Here is a 15155-nt window from a genome sequence, read left to right as displayed (position 1 = left end):
TGTAGGTGTACAAACCTGGGCAATTCCAAAAATGGAGGATGAAAAAAATTAACTGGAGCAACATTTTATCTATGCAGCACTTCAATTTTGTCAATATACTGAATAATTACATTATTGATATAAAAACTTATTGTTTCATATAAAATGTAACATTTCAATAATTATCTGCTAAAACTCTTTTTTCAAAAGTTTTATAGAGGAAGGACATTTTTCCTTTGCACAAGCTCTATACTCACAGAACAAAAATTTTTCATCTAACAAATAAACAATCTGATGCCTGCTCTACTTAACATTCTGTCTTCAAAATATTCGAGCTATTGATTTCAGCTGCTTTATGACTGTCATTTTCTTCTACATGTACAGAAGTCAAAGATAAAAAGATAGACAGGTCTTTTAATTTTGAGCATCTAGTATACTTTCCACTTGCCCTTTCTGACCATTCTCCATTCTATTCAGTGCCATAGGAGGCTGATATGCATTCAGTGCCATAGGAGGAAATGCATCAGCTGCTTTCTTGCCTCTGGTTGCCAGTTGAGTTTGGCCAATAAAAGACACTAGCTGGAGACTGGACTGTAAGAGGTGCTTGGAGAGAGCACATTCTGCACACCTTTCCACAAGTCTGTGTTCAATGACATCATATTGTCAGCTTATAATTAGCCACGGTGAAAGAATTTAGACTATGGAAATGAGCAAATGCTGCAAATCAGGGTTTTCATTTTTGATAAGTCAAGTTACCAGCATGGAGCTAGAGGAGTGTGGTTGTAGATATTAATCCCTTTGTTTCCCTCTGTACTTGGTCTTCTAGGTTGGTTGTGTATCTCAATCCAAGGAATTCAAAGGGGGCTCTCTCCATACAGCTAACACTTGAGGTTTGTGAAACCACTGTATCCCCTTACTCTTTCAAGCTTAAAGCTTCCCTGCTCAGGTCACCTCAGACTACTACACTACGTCTTTTGTTTCTCTAAATCTGCATCATCCAATTTGAAGCCACTGGCTACATGTGGCTATTGACCTCTTGATAGTGGGACTGTCATAGTGGTGTGACTGAGGAAATAAATTTTGTATTTTATTTAGGAAAAATTAATTTATTAATTAGTGTTAAAATTTAAAAACAAAATATATAGTGCAAAATATGTTTTTATTAAACAACTTTATTATTTTTATCAGACTACATTTTACTTGAGGATTTATTATTTGAACAGGAATGGGCTGTAAATGTGAAATGCACACAAATTTCAAAGACAATATAAAAAAGAAAACATCTTACTAATAATTTTATATTCATTTCTGTTAAAATAATATTTTTGCTATGTTGGGTTAAACTAAAGATATTTTTAAGATTAATTTCACCTGTTTCATTTAACTTTTAAATGTGTTTACTAGAAAATTTTAAAATACTATGTGGCTTTGACTATTGGATAGTCCCACTCTAAGCTTTCACCATTATTATACTCTCCTCAAACACATAGCTTGAATATGCCATCAGTTTCCTTCTGTGACCCTAACTAACATCACCAACAACCAAAACAGAACAATCTACTATGATTAATTCATTTTATTCCTTGTGAGCTAAATTACAACGCTATTTTTAAAGAGAAAAGAAACAAGCTTCCTTTGGAATATAGTCAGTAGGCAATATTAATTAGGTGATACTTGGTTTCTAATGATGTTTGCTAAGCAATTGATATAATTTTTATAGTGTGCTCTACCAGAATAATTCTGAAAAATGTTCCCTGAATGGAAGGAAATATTAATATAGTGAAGTAGCTATCATATTCCAGGGAATTTTTGGATAGATTACCCAATTCAACCCTCTCAATAACCTCAAATGATAGAAATGTTTTGAGATACCCTAATTTTACAGAGCAGGAAACTGAGGCATGAAGAAATTACTTGTTCAAGTCACACAGCTGGAAAACATAAAGGCTAAAATAATAATCAGGTTTGCTTGGCTTTATAGTCCAGAATCCTTCTGGCACACTATACAATAAATATTCCTTACTCCAAGGCATTTTAAACACAATTTATGGGAGAAAGTTGTTGGTTTTACTAGATACTGATTTTAAAACTTTCCTCAAAATGTAGGTGGTCTTTAGCATGGCTTCTTCCTCAGACCACATTCCATTTCTTTCTTGACCCCAGGAGTAACCACTTTGAAATAGACATAGAAATCACCATACTCCTATGAAAAATTGCTTCCAAGTGCTTGTCAGGTCACTTACAGGAAGAGGCGAGTCAGAGGTTTGGTGGCATTAGGCCAGTTTGAGCATTCTGCATTCAGGTGAGCCTAGCTTCAACCCCAACCTTGTCTATCCCACCCTGACTTTGATCCTTAATCCCAGTGCTACTTGGCCCATTAGACAGTGTTGTTTTGCCTTTAGGATGCTGAAAAAGGATGAAAACAGAGGCTCAAACATGTAAACTGTACACAAGTCACAAAAGGAACAAAAGCCGTTGACCCTTGGATTGGAGACTTAACAGTGCTTTCTCCTGTTCTTACTTTCAGTCTAGAAATAATTTGATCCTCCTGCATCTGACTGTGACTTAAAGTGTAGTTCTTCATGGGAGTTTTTAAACGATGTTTACACACATGTTAGCACTCATTGCACTGGACTTCACTTCTCCCTTCTTGCTAAATGGGTGTGAAATAAAAATATTTTTTTAAATACAGGTAGACCCTGTACTTGAACTCACGTTAATTTGGAATTGTGCACAGCTGCATGACATTAAACACTAAAAGGAGAGTAACAGGAACTTCCAGGATCACAGCAAAATTGGTCGTTATTTAATGCAAGGAATCTTTTGGGTACATAATAAATACTGTCTGATTAAATGTAACAAAGCAATAAATCATTCCTTTTATATCCATTTTATATTTTTAGTCTAACCTAATATTATTGTGTGACCACCTAGATGTTCTCACATCTGAATGACTTTGAAACTGAAAACAAGGAGTCAATGTTACTTTGAGTTTAAAAACAGAGCTTGGAATCAGGCTGCCTGAGTTCAGCTGTTTTAACTAAAAACCACGTGACTGTGGACCACTGCCCCTTCACCTCTTTACACCTCAGTTTCCTCATCTGCAAGAAGAGGGTAACATTGGGCCGGGTGCGGTGGCTCACGCCTGTAATCCCAGCACTTTGGGAGGCCAAGGTGGGCAGATCACGAGGTCAGGAGATTGAGACCATCCTGGCTAACATGGTGAAACCCTGTCTCTATTAAAAATATAAAAAATTAGCCGGGCGTGATGGTGGGTGCCTATAGTCCCAGCTACGCAGGAGGCTGAGGCAGGAGAATTGCTTGAACCCGGGAGGCGGAAGTTGCAGTGAGCCGAGATTGTGCCATTTGCACTCCAGCCTGGCAACAGATTGAGACTCCATCTCAAAAAAAAAAAAAAAAGAAGAGAGTAACATCATGTCAGTTAGGGTTTTTCAGGTGCAAGAAACGGAAATCAACTTTTAACTATTTTTTTTAAAGAAATTTATTGTGAAGATATGAGGTAGCTAAAGGAAACAAATGAAGAACTGAACTGGGCCTCAGAAGGTATGAAGCCATCCAGCCCCAGGGTTTCAGAGAACAAGAACTTATGCTCATTATTAGGGTGCCAAAACTGGAATCAAAGAATGAATTGAATTGCATTCTTATGCCTGTCTACTGAAGTTGCAAATACCCCAGAAAGAGTCTGAGTGGCTAGTTGGGATCCTGCGTCCCTTTCCTCAGGCAGGGGAGAGGAGAAAGCAGGATGTCCTGATTGACAGCCCCATCAAACTGCAGACCATGCCTGAGGCCAAGTTTTCAAACAAAACATCAGGGTGGTGTTACACAAGAAAGGGACGTGGGTGTTAGACAAGCAAGAGAAATTGAAGTGTTTAATAGACTCCTGACTTATATAATTATTATGTTTTTCAAATGAGATAATTGACCAAGGCACACACAGTGACAGTATATATGTTATTAATAAAGATAATTCTTGAAAATTATAATTAGAAAGAGCTCACAATCTGGTTTATTCTTCTCTACTAAGAATAATCATGTTCTCAAAGATCATATTTTATACACAGCCACTTGCATACACACATATATGTATATGAATATGGATTATTTAAAACAGAACATTTTATAACAGAACATTTTAATATTGTGCTAACTAGGTGGAGATATATGAAAAACAAAGTAAGTATAATTATGCCTCAAATAGTTAGCATGCAATTATTTAATTAAAAAATCTGCCTTTGCTATTTCAAACATAAGCCAACAATAAATCCCACACCATCTATTTTAGTTATGGTAAATCATAGTTGTATGTGGTCATGATTATGGCTAATAGTGGGATAAAGTATTTAATTTTAGAATATGAATGAAATACACTCTTGTTGACATTTTATGCATGACAGTCTGGGAACAATAGGGGGAGAGCTAGCAGCTCTGTGATATAAATCCCCCTACAGAGAGAATAGTAAAGAAAGAATAATAAATCAAGGATTCTGATTGTTAATGATGGTTTTAGAAGCTCAGGCTCTCCATATTTAGAATGTACCAGCTGCTTCGAATTAGGAAGACTGTAGGCTCTTCTGACATGAGTTCATTGATGATGGTGTGTGTGTGTGTGATGTGAATGAGTCACTCTAGTTACATGTAACAGAAAATCTAGAACACTTCCCTGAACTATTAGTTTATGAGGAATAAACTGTTATTCCACACTATGATTGCCAATCTGCATTAAAATTTGTAGCTTTTTAAAGAACATTAAGAGATTATATATTTAGCACTTTGTCTGAAATTGCTTATAGACTGCATGACAACACCAAAACTTAAAAGGGAGGAACTCTGTATATCTTTTTAACTTCTGCTTTCACTTCACAACAGACAATGACTTCCATTCAACTAAACAATTAGCCCCGTCAAAGCAAGTCCTCAAACAATTAAGACTCAAAGTTATTCTCTCAGAAATCTTTAATAAAAAGCAAAATATTTATAAAACATGAAGAAGGAGGGAACTAGAGTATGCCCTTTGCTTCTTAACATGCCTCCAGGAAGAGAAACTCCTAGTGCGCTGACAGTGGCCATTTAGCGTCAAAATACAGTGGCTGTCAAAACTTCAGGGAATTCTGGAAATAAATAGAAGTTGAAGGAAATTTAAAATTGTGCCATTTTATTATTACACTGTGTGCAGCACACTGTGGGCATTAAATTGAATCTGAATAACCACGCTTCCCAAGAGGTAGCACTTCTGAGTCACCATTAAGTGGTGATGCCAAGGAGATTAGGCTGGCTGAGATCTGAAAGGTTTCCTGGTGAGATTTCTTGCCTTCCTCCCTTCCTTTCTTCTTTCTTCTTGCCTTCCCTCCCTTTTTGTCCCTCCTTCTTTCCTCCCTCCTTTCTTCTCTCCCTCCTTCCTGTCTTATTTTTTTTCTTTTTCTTTTCTTTTCTTTTTTCTTTTTTTTTTTTTTGAGACGGAGTCTCGCTCTGTCATCCAAGCTGGAGAACAATGGTGCAATCTGTGATCTCAGCTCACTGCAACCTCTGCCTCCTAGGTTCAAGTGATTCTCCTGCCTCAGTCTCCTGTATAGTTGGGATTACAGGCGCCCGCCACCATGCCGGGCTAATTTTTGTATTTTTAGTAGAAACGAGGTCTCACCATGTTGGCCAGGATGGTTTCAAACTCCTGACCTCAGGTGATCTGCCTGCTTTCACCTCCCAAAGTTCTGGGATTACAGGCCTGAGCCACCATGCCTGGCCCCCGTCTTAATTTTAGTTAAACTTTTTTTTCAGATAATTATAGATTCACATGCAGTCGTAATAAATAATGTAAAGACATCCGGTGTACCCTTCACTCGTTTTCCTTCAGTGGTAACACCTTGCCAAACTGTAGGACAATATCAAAACCAGGATACTGACACTAATACAGTCAAGAGACAAAACATCATCACACCATCACCACAAGGATTTCTCATGCTGCTTCTTATAGTCACATTCTCTTCTCTCCCACCTGTCATTTTAAGAATGTTATGGAAATGGAACACTACTGCCTATAATCTTTTTTTTTTTTTTTTTTTTGAGATGGAGTATCGCTCTGTCGCCTAGGCTGGAGTGCAGTGGCGCGATCCTGGCTCACTGCAAGCTCTGCCTCCCGGGTTTACACCATTCTCCTGCCTCAGCCTGCCTAGTAGCTGGGACTACAGGCGCCCGCCACCTCACCCAGCTAAATTTTTGTATTTTTAGTAGAGACGGGGTTTCACCGTGTTAGCCAGGATGGTCTCTCTCTCCTGACCTCGTGATCTGCCCGCTTCGGTCTCCCAGAGTTCTGGGATTACAGGCGTGAGCCACCGTGCCCGGCCCAGCCCATAATCTTTTGTGTTTAGCTTTTATCACTCATAATTTCTCTGGGGATTACAGGCTGTTGTGTGTATCAATAGTTTATTCTTTTTTATTGCTAAGTAGGATTCCATAGTATGCTTATTCCAGACTGCTTAACCATTCACCCGTTGAAGGATATCTGTATTTGTTTTCAGTTTTTGGCTAGTAAGAATGAAGTGGCTACAGACCCTTGAACACCAATATTCTTAGTGGCATTAGTCACATTAGCCACAAGGTGGAAACAACCAAAGTGTCCCATGACAGATGAATGGATAAACAAAATGTGGTATATACATACAATATGAGATTATTTGGCCTTAAAAATGAAATTCTGCTAAACAAAATGTGGTATATACATACAATATAAGATTATTCAGCCTTAAAAAATGAAATTCTGATACATGCTACAGCATGGACTAACCTTGACAACATTATGCTGAGCGAAATAAACCAGACACAGGTAACATGTTGCATGATTCCACTCATAAGCAGTAACTAGAATAGGCACATTTATAGAGACAGAAAATAGAAGTCACCAGGGGCTGAGGGAGAGGAAACGGGAAGTTAGTATTTAATGGGTATAGAGTTTCCATTTGAGATGATGAAAAAGTTCTAGAAATGGAGAGTGGTGATGGTTGCACAACACTGTGAATGTACTTAGTGTAACAAAACTGTACACTTAAAAATGGTTAAGATGATACATTTATTAATACCACAATAATTTAAAAAGTTAATAAACCTGCTACAAACATTTGTACATAGGTTTTTGTGTGAACAGAGTCTTCATTTCTCTGGGATAAAAGCCCAGGAGTATAAATACTGGGTTGTAGGATAGTTGCATCTTTAGTTCTTTAAGACATTGACAAACTGCCAGAGTGGCTGTGCCATTTTCCATTCCCCTCAGCGGTGTGTGAGGGATCCAGTTGTTCTGCATCCTCACCAGCCCGAGGGCTCTCTCATTTATTTTTTAATATAGCATTCTGATAGGTGTGTACTGATATCCTATTGTGGTTTTAATTTGCATTTCCCTAATAACTAATAAGGTCGATCATCTTTTCAGGTGCATTTTGTCATCTGTATATCTTCTTAGATGAAATGTCTCTTCACGTCTTTTGCCTACTTTCTAATAGGATTATTTGCCTTTTTACTGTTGAATTTTGAGAGTTCTTTATATATTTGAAATATAAGACCTTTGTCAGATATGTGGTTTGGAAACATTTTCTCCTAGTCTGCCACTTGTCCTTTAATCTTTTTAATGCAGTCTTTCACATAGCAAAAGTTTTTACTTTTGATAAAGTATGATTTACGATGTTTTTTGGCAGGGTTGGAGGGTAACCGTGCTTTCGGTATCAAATCTCTAAGAATTTCTGCCTAGTCTTAATTTCCAAAGTCTTTTCATACTTTTTTCTTAAAACTTTTATTGTTTCATGTTACATGTAAGTCTGTGATTCATTCAATACTTTTGAGTTAATTCTTGTGTAAGATATGAGGCTTGGCTTAGGTGAAGTTTTTTCTTTTTCTTTTCTTTCTTTTCTTTCTTCTTTCTTTCTTTCTTTCTTTCTTTCTTTCTTCCTTTCTTCCTTTCTTTCTTCTTTCTTTCTTCTTCCTTTCTTTTCTTTCTTCTCTCTTTCTCTCTGTAATATTAGAATCATAAAATATGTTATTAGAGTGGTGTTAGTGTTGAATTTGCTGACAATATTTTATTGATTCACCCAGTATTTACTGAGCACATAAATATTTAAGACATCATCCTAGTTGCTACTATGACCTCAAGGGAAAAATATTGCATAATTTCTGATTTCTAAAAATTTAGAAATTTTCTTTGTTTCTTTCTTTTTTCTTTCTTTCTTTTCTCTTTCTTTCTTTCTTTCATCTTTCTTCTTCCTTCCTTCCTTTCTCTCTTTTTCTTTTCTTTTCTCTTTCTTTCTTTCTCTTTCTTTCTTTCTTCTTCTTTTTCTTCTCTTTCTTTCCTTCTTTCTTTCCCTCCCCAATGTATAGAAGGCGACTATGCTTTCTCCATTGATTTTTTTTTTTTTTGAGATGGAGTCTTGCTATGTTGCCCAGGCTAGTTGTGAACTCTGGACTCAAACAATCCTCCCACCTTAGCCTCTCAGTAGCTGAGATTACAGGTGCATTTCACTATGCCTGTCTTGAAATTTTGTGCATTTCTCTCTCTCTCTCCTCTGCTTTACATAACCTACAGTATTTTCACTGTGGCTTTTTGTTTCTATAAACATAGGTTTGACACCTTTGTGCTATGAGATTTGATGCTTAATATGTATATGAAGACATGAATTTATATTTTCTTACATATTTACCAAATACCTAAATTGGAATTTCACTGGTCTAGTTATGCACTTTCATGATTGTCACATTAGTTAATGAGCAAAAGAAAGATTGAAATATGTAAAATAATATCAGCCCTCCCTGTTATACGAGGTACCCAGCACTAGCAGCCCGGATTCACCAGAGTTTCTTTCTGTTTGGGTGTGTTAGGAGCAATGGAAACTAGGGAATGAGACAGAGGTGACTTTCTAGTTAGTGGAAGGGGTGATGAGTACACTAACTTACGCAAATTCTGTGCACTTCTTTCTTCCCCCTCTCTCTTTTCTCTCCTTATCTCTTTCCTTCCTTCTTACACATACTCAATACATACTTGAGAATAAAATGTTGAACAAAGTATGTATTTGCTTTTATGGAGATTCCAGTCTAGTGATAGACAAATAAAATAACCAACGAAATAAACGAAATAATCACAGAGTGGAATTAAATATCACTTCATAAATTTTTATCCTTGTCATACATTGAAATACTCCAAATCTTAAAATATTTGTTCTGTGAACTAGAATATTAGAATCATAAAATATGTTATTAGAGTGCTGTTAGTGTTGAATTTGCTGACAGTATTTTATTGATTCACCCAATATTTATTGAGCACATAAATATTTGAGGCATCATCCTAGTTGCTACTATGACCTCAAGGAAAAAATATTGCATATTTTCTGATTTCTAAAAATTTATAATTTAGCTGGAGAGAGATTATACATAAACACATAAATATATTATATAAGTATGATATAAATAGGGTGAATGATAAATAAAAGTAAAGCAAAAATGGTTGGTAAAAAAAGAAAAATTCCTTTTCTCTGGAAGGATCATGAAAAGCACCCTTGAGTAGCATCCAAAAAGATGGGCTTTGCAGTAAACCTGAAAAGATAGGTAGGATTTCAAATAGGCAAAGTCCACAGAGGAGACAATGGGAAGTAAATGAGAAGATGATTGCCCTATGAAAGGCTCAGCATGGAGAGAGAAGGAGGATCTTCTGGTTCAGAGAATGACAAAAGGACTAATTTGGCATTATAGTTAAAAAGGGGGAAATTCAAATATGAAGGGAACAAGCATATGGTAATGCATTTTGAATGCTGGTGGAAAGCTACCTATTTGTACTTAGATGCTATACTCAACCATAGTTTCCAAAGCCATTCAAAGATACAGGCTTTAAATAAGAGGGGAAAATGTTTTCATCTGGGCAGTTTATTTTCAATATGTTAGACTGAAGAATGGAGAAAATGTATTGCTTTCTAAGAAAAATCTTTATTTTCCCAATTAAAGGCTAGAAATATTTATTTGCATATTGTGTCAATTATGAAATTATAATATTTTTATCATTAATTTCTTTTTTTTCCTTCAATTTAGACCACCCCTTCAAGTATCTTTAGGGCACAATTTTGCTTTACTCTGAGTCCCTTTTTCTCCCCCATATAGGTTGACCTCTAATGATTTAATAGCAAAGTCAATCAACACTTTAAACAGGCTTTAAATGACTTTATTATATGACACGTGGGCAAAATTATCAGCAAATTCCAGTTACTTTTTCATTTGGGCAGCAGTAGTAAATTCTTGCTCATGACACTTGCCTTCTTCGGGTGGAGGGATAATAATAATGCTTATTTCATATTGTTGTTGTAAGGACAAAGTGAGACCATGTTTGTGAGTTTTTAAAAAATTTGGTAGCACTCAAATCTAATATTATTATAAAATAAACTTTTGGTGGATTGGACTACCCTTTATAGATTGTTCATTCTCCAAGTGCCTTCATAGCTGGCATGTAGCACTTAGTTATTATTGGTAACATTATTGAAAATAGCAACAATATGACAGTGCATTTAATTTCCTTTACACATGAAACCTGCTTAATAAGCATGTTGACAAATAAACAGATAATGCTCTATGAACTTTAGCTTGCAGCGAATTCAGCATGTATTATCTTATTTAACCATAATAAATCATCCAGTATAGAAAAATTGTATTACTTACATCCAAAACAAACAAACAAAGAAAATTCTCACAGAACTATTACTTGTTATACTTTTGGGATGAGTTATCTAACATAATGCAGAATAAGAGTTAAATTACATATCTTCCATTGGCTTTACTTTGTCTAAGCAAACATAATACACATTATATAATAGTTAATATATAATATGCAGAAATGTTATGAAGCATAATTAAGTTTAGAAGATTTGAGCCTAAACATTTACATGTGACTTTTGATAACATATTGATAGACATATGCATATACCTGTGTATATATGTACATACACATAGATATCTATAGATATAAATTAATATATGTAAGTATATAGATGTGTAGATAGTAAAGATATATAACCATATAGTCTAAGTTGAAATCAATAATACTAGTGCTTCAGATGTACTGAGTTTCAAAGCATATTGATAGTGAAACAAAACATAATAAAACAAAATAAACATGTCTAGCTATATAGCAATTGCCTTGTTTAAATTAAAACTTTATTTCAGAGCTCTTCTAGCATACCATTTGAGAGAAGTTTTCAGTAATATAAGTTGGTATAGCAGTAACCATGATATGGACACCAAAATGATGTTTTAGAAGTTTTATGTGTATGTTTGTGAATGAGTAATTTAGACTTATTGTAGTAAACTATTTAAAGTGACCAGTATTATGAATTGCCCCCTTATGAATCTATTTGACCACTTATAAAAGTCTTGTGTGGTTCAATGTCATGGCTGAGCAAACAAACAAACACCTGGATACTGTGATGTATGAGAAAAGACAGAAACTGCATCTGTGCCTGAGTGCAGCGAGTTTGAGTAAGTCGGTAGTAAGGCTGGGAATAGCACAGCATCTGCATGTGTGTTACACACTCAGCAGAGCTGATCCTGAACACGTGCAAGCCCTCATGATTTTGGCCATGGTCAGCAACACTGTCCCAGAGTGATGTGAGGCTCCTTCTAGGATAACTCATGAGTATGTAATTTACCATGGAGTAGCCTATTTATGGTACACAGGAGGATACCTTGCTGTTTTTCCCTCCAAAGTTATTAAATCTTAGCGGCAGTTAAAATCCAAGATATAGTATGATTTTGCACAAGATGACAGGATGCTTCCTACACTCTTCCTGTATTTGAAAAAAAAAAAAAAAAGAAGGATACTAAGTAGTCTGATTAGAACTCAGGGAATGGAAATAATGTGAAGAAAGAATCTGATTTTTTGAGTTAGATGAGCTTGCCTTCAAATCCTGGAGTTTTATTTAACCTTTGTTAGCCTACAGTCAGTTTTTTGCCCAACAGACAAAGCAGTATGTACCTTGTGTGGTCATTGTGAGTATTTAATGAGGTAATGGGTGAAAATATATGAATATAATATCCTACAACTGGAGGCCACAATTCCTTTATAAAGGATGGCCACATTCCTTTATTCTTCAACACCACATCTCCTCTGAATTTCCTGTCATCCATGGAGAAGTTAGCAATAGAACTTCACAGTTTTATAAATTCTGAAAAAAAAACAAAAACAAAAACAAAAAACCTTTGAATGTTTCCTTATTTAAGATTAATACAGGTCGGGGAACTCCTTCCCCTACCCAAGGGAAGCTGTGAGGGACTGTGCTGTGAGGAGTGGTGCATTCCGGCCCAGACACTATGCTTTTCCCACAGTCTTCGCAACCCGTAGACTAGGAGATTCCCTCGGGTGCCTACACCACCAGGGCCCTGGGTTTCAAGCACAAAACTGGGAGGCTGTTTGGGCAGACACTGAGCTAGCTGCAGGAGTTTGTTTGTTTTCTTTTTCTTTTTTATCATACCCCAGTGGCACCCGGAACGCCAGCAAGACAAAACCATTCACTCCCCTGCAAAGGGGGCTGAAGCCAGGGAGCCAAATGGTCTAGCTCAGCGGATCCTACCCCCACAGAGCCCAGCAAGCTAAGATCGATTGTTTGAAATTTTCGCTGCCAGGACAGAAGTCTGAAGTCGACCTGGTATGCTTGAGCTTGGTGGGGGGAGGGGCATCCACCAGTACTGAGGCTTGAGTAGGTGGTTTTCCCCTTCCAGTGCAAACAAAGCCTCCAGGAAGTTTGAACTCGGCAGAGCCCACCGCAGCTCCACAAAGCTGCTGTAGTCAGACTGCCTCTCTAGATTCCTTCTCTCTGGGCAGGGCAACTATGAAAGAAAGGCAGCAGCCACTGTCAGGGGCTTATAGATCAAACTCTCATCTCCCTGGGATAGAGCACCTGGGGGAAGGGGTGGCTGTGGGCGCAGCTTCCGCAGACCTAAACCTTCCTGCATTCTGGCTCTGAAGAGAGCAGCAGGTCTCCAAACACAGCGCTCGAGCTCTGCTAAGGGACAGACTGGCTTCTCAAGTGGGTCCCTGAGCCCCGTGCCTCCTGATGGGGAGATACCTCCCAGCAGGGGTCGACAGGCACCTCATACAGGAGAGCTCTGACTGGCACCTGGAGATTGCCCCTCTAGAATGAAGCTTCCAAAGGAAGGAACAGGCAGCAATCTTTGCTGTTCTGCAGCCTCTGCTGGTGATATCCAGGCAAACAGGGTCTGGAGTGGACCTCCAACAAACTCCAGCAGACCTGCAGCAGAGAGGCCTGACTGTTAGAAGGAAAACTAACAAAAAGAAAGGAATAGCATCAACATCAACAAAAAGGACAGCCACACAAAAACCCCATCTGAAGGTCACCAACATCAAAGACCAAAGGTAGATAAATCCATGATGATGAGGAAAACCCAGCGCAAAAAGGCAGAAAATTCCAAAAACCAGAGCGCCTCTTCTCCTCCAAAGGATCACAATTCCTCCCAACAAGGGAACAAAACTGGACGGAGAATGAGTTTGACGAATTGACAGAAGTAGGCTTCGGAAGGTGGGTAATAACAAACTCCTCTGAGCTAAAGGAGCATGTTCTAACCCAATGCAAGGAAGCTAAGAACTTGAAAAAAGGTTAGAGAAATTGCTAACTAGAGTAACCAGTTTAGAGAACATAAATGACCTGATAGAGCTGAAAAACACAGCAAGAGAACTTTGTGAAGCATACACAAGTATCAATAGCTGAATCAATCAAGTGGAAGAAAGGTTATCAGAGATTGAACATCAAAGTAATGAAATAAAGCATGAAGACAAGAATAGAGAAAAAAGAATGAAAAGGAAAGAACAAAGCCTCCAAGAAATATGAGACTATGTGAAAAGACCAAACCTACATTTGATTGGTGTACCTGAAAGTAACGGGGAGAATGGAACCAAGTTGGAAAACACTCTTCAGGTTGTTATCCAGGAGAACTATCCCAACCTAGCAAGACAGGCCAACATTCAAATTCGGGAAATACAGAGAACACCACAAAGATACTACTCGAGAAGAGCAACCCCACGACACATAATTGTCAGATTCACCAGGATTGAAATGAAGGAAAAAATGTTAAGGGCAGCTAGAGAGAAAGGTTGGGTTACCCACAAAGGGAAGCCCAACAGACTAACAGCAGATCTCTCTGCAGAAACCCTACAAGCCAGAAGAGAGTGGGGGCCAATATTCAACATTCTTAAATAAAAGAATTTTTAACCCACAATTTCATATCCAGCCAAACTAAGCTTCATAAGTGAAGGAGAAATAAAATCCTTACAGACAAGCAAATGCTGAGAGATTTTTGTCACCATCGGGCCTGCCTTACAAGAGATCCTGAAAAAAGCACTCAATATGGAATAGAAAAAACAGTACAAGCCACTACAAAAACATACCAAATTGTAAAGACCATCGACCCTTTGAAGAAACTGCATCAACTAATGGGCAAAATAACCAGTTAGCGTCATCATGACAGAATCAAATTTACACATAACAATATTAACCTTAAATGTAAATGGGCTAAATGCCCCAATTAAAAAACACAGACTGGCAAATTGGATAAAGAGTCAAAACCCATTGGTGTGCTGTATTCAGGGGACCCATCTCATGTGCAAAGACACATATATGCTTAAAATAAAGGGATGGAGGAAGATCTACCAAGCAAGTGGAAAGAAAAAAAAGCAGAGGTTGCAATCCTAGTCTCTGATAAAACAGACTTTAAACCAACAAAGATCAAAAAAGACAAAGAAGGCCATTACATAATGGTAAAGGGATCAATTCAACAAGAAGAGCTAACTATCCTAAATATATATGCACCAAATACAGGAGCACCCAGATTCATAAAGCAAGTTCTTAGAGATCTACAAAGAGACTTAGGCTCTGACACAATAATAGTGGGAGATTTAACACCCCACTGTCAATATTAGACAGATCGACGAGTCAGAAAATTAACAAAGATATTCAGGACTTGAACTCAGCTTTAGACCAAGTGGACTTAATAGACATCTACAGAACTCTCCACCCCAAATCAACAGAATATACATTCTTCTCAGCACCACATCACACTTATTCCAAATTTAACCGCATAATTGGAAGTAAAACACTGCTCAGCAAATGGAAAAGAATGGAAATCATAAC

General features: G+C 37.4%; 1 protein-coding gene across 1 annotated transcript in view, besides 2 other annotated features; it reads left to right on the top strand.

Moving 5' to 3' along the window:
- The window catches only part of DKK2 (dickkopf Wnt signaling pathway inhibitor 2), a 114512-nt gene that overhangs the window by 45048 nt on the left and 54309 nt on the right, over window positions 1-15155 (top strand). The gene's annotated exons all lie outside the window — the stretch shown is intronic.
- Window positions 11957-12728: an enhancer, noted in NCBI's record as "H3K27ac hESC enhancer chr4:107899695-107900466 (GRCh37/hg19 assembly coordinates)". NCBI's record gives its function as "activates a minimal SCP1, AML or CMV promoter by ChIP-STARR-seq in naive H9 embryonic stem cells {active_cell/tissue: H9 hESC(naive)}" and the evidence as "EXISTENCE:reporter gene assay evidence [ECO:0000049][PMID:30033119]".
- Window positions 12729-13502: an enhancer, noted in NCBI's record as "H3K27ac hESC enhancer chr4:107898921-107899694 (GRCh37/hg19 assembly coordinates)". NCBI's record gives its function as "activates a minimal SCP1, AML or CMV promoter by ChIP-STARR-seq in naive H9 embryonic stem cells {active_cell/tissue: H9 hESC(naive)}" and the evidence as "EXISTENCE:reporter gene assay evidence [ECO:0000049][PMID:30033119]".

The sequence above is a fragment of the Homo sapiens genome, chromosome 4, assembly GCF_000001405.40.
Source record: "Homo sapiens chromosome 4, GRCh38.p14 Primary Assembly".
NCBI classification, from domain to species: Eukaryota; Metazoa; Chordata; class Mammalia; order Primates; family Hominidae; genus Homo; species Homo sapiens.
This window is presented reverse-complemented; position numbering and strand designations above follow the sequence as displayed.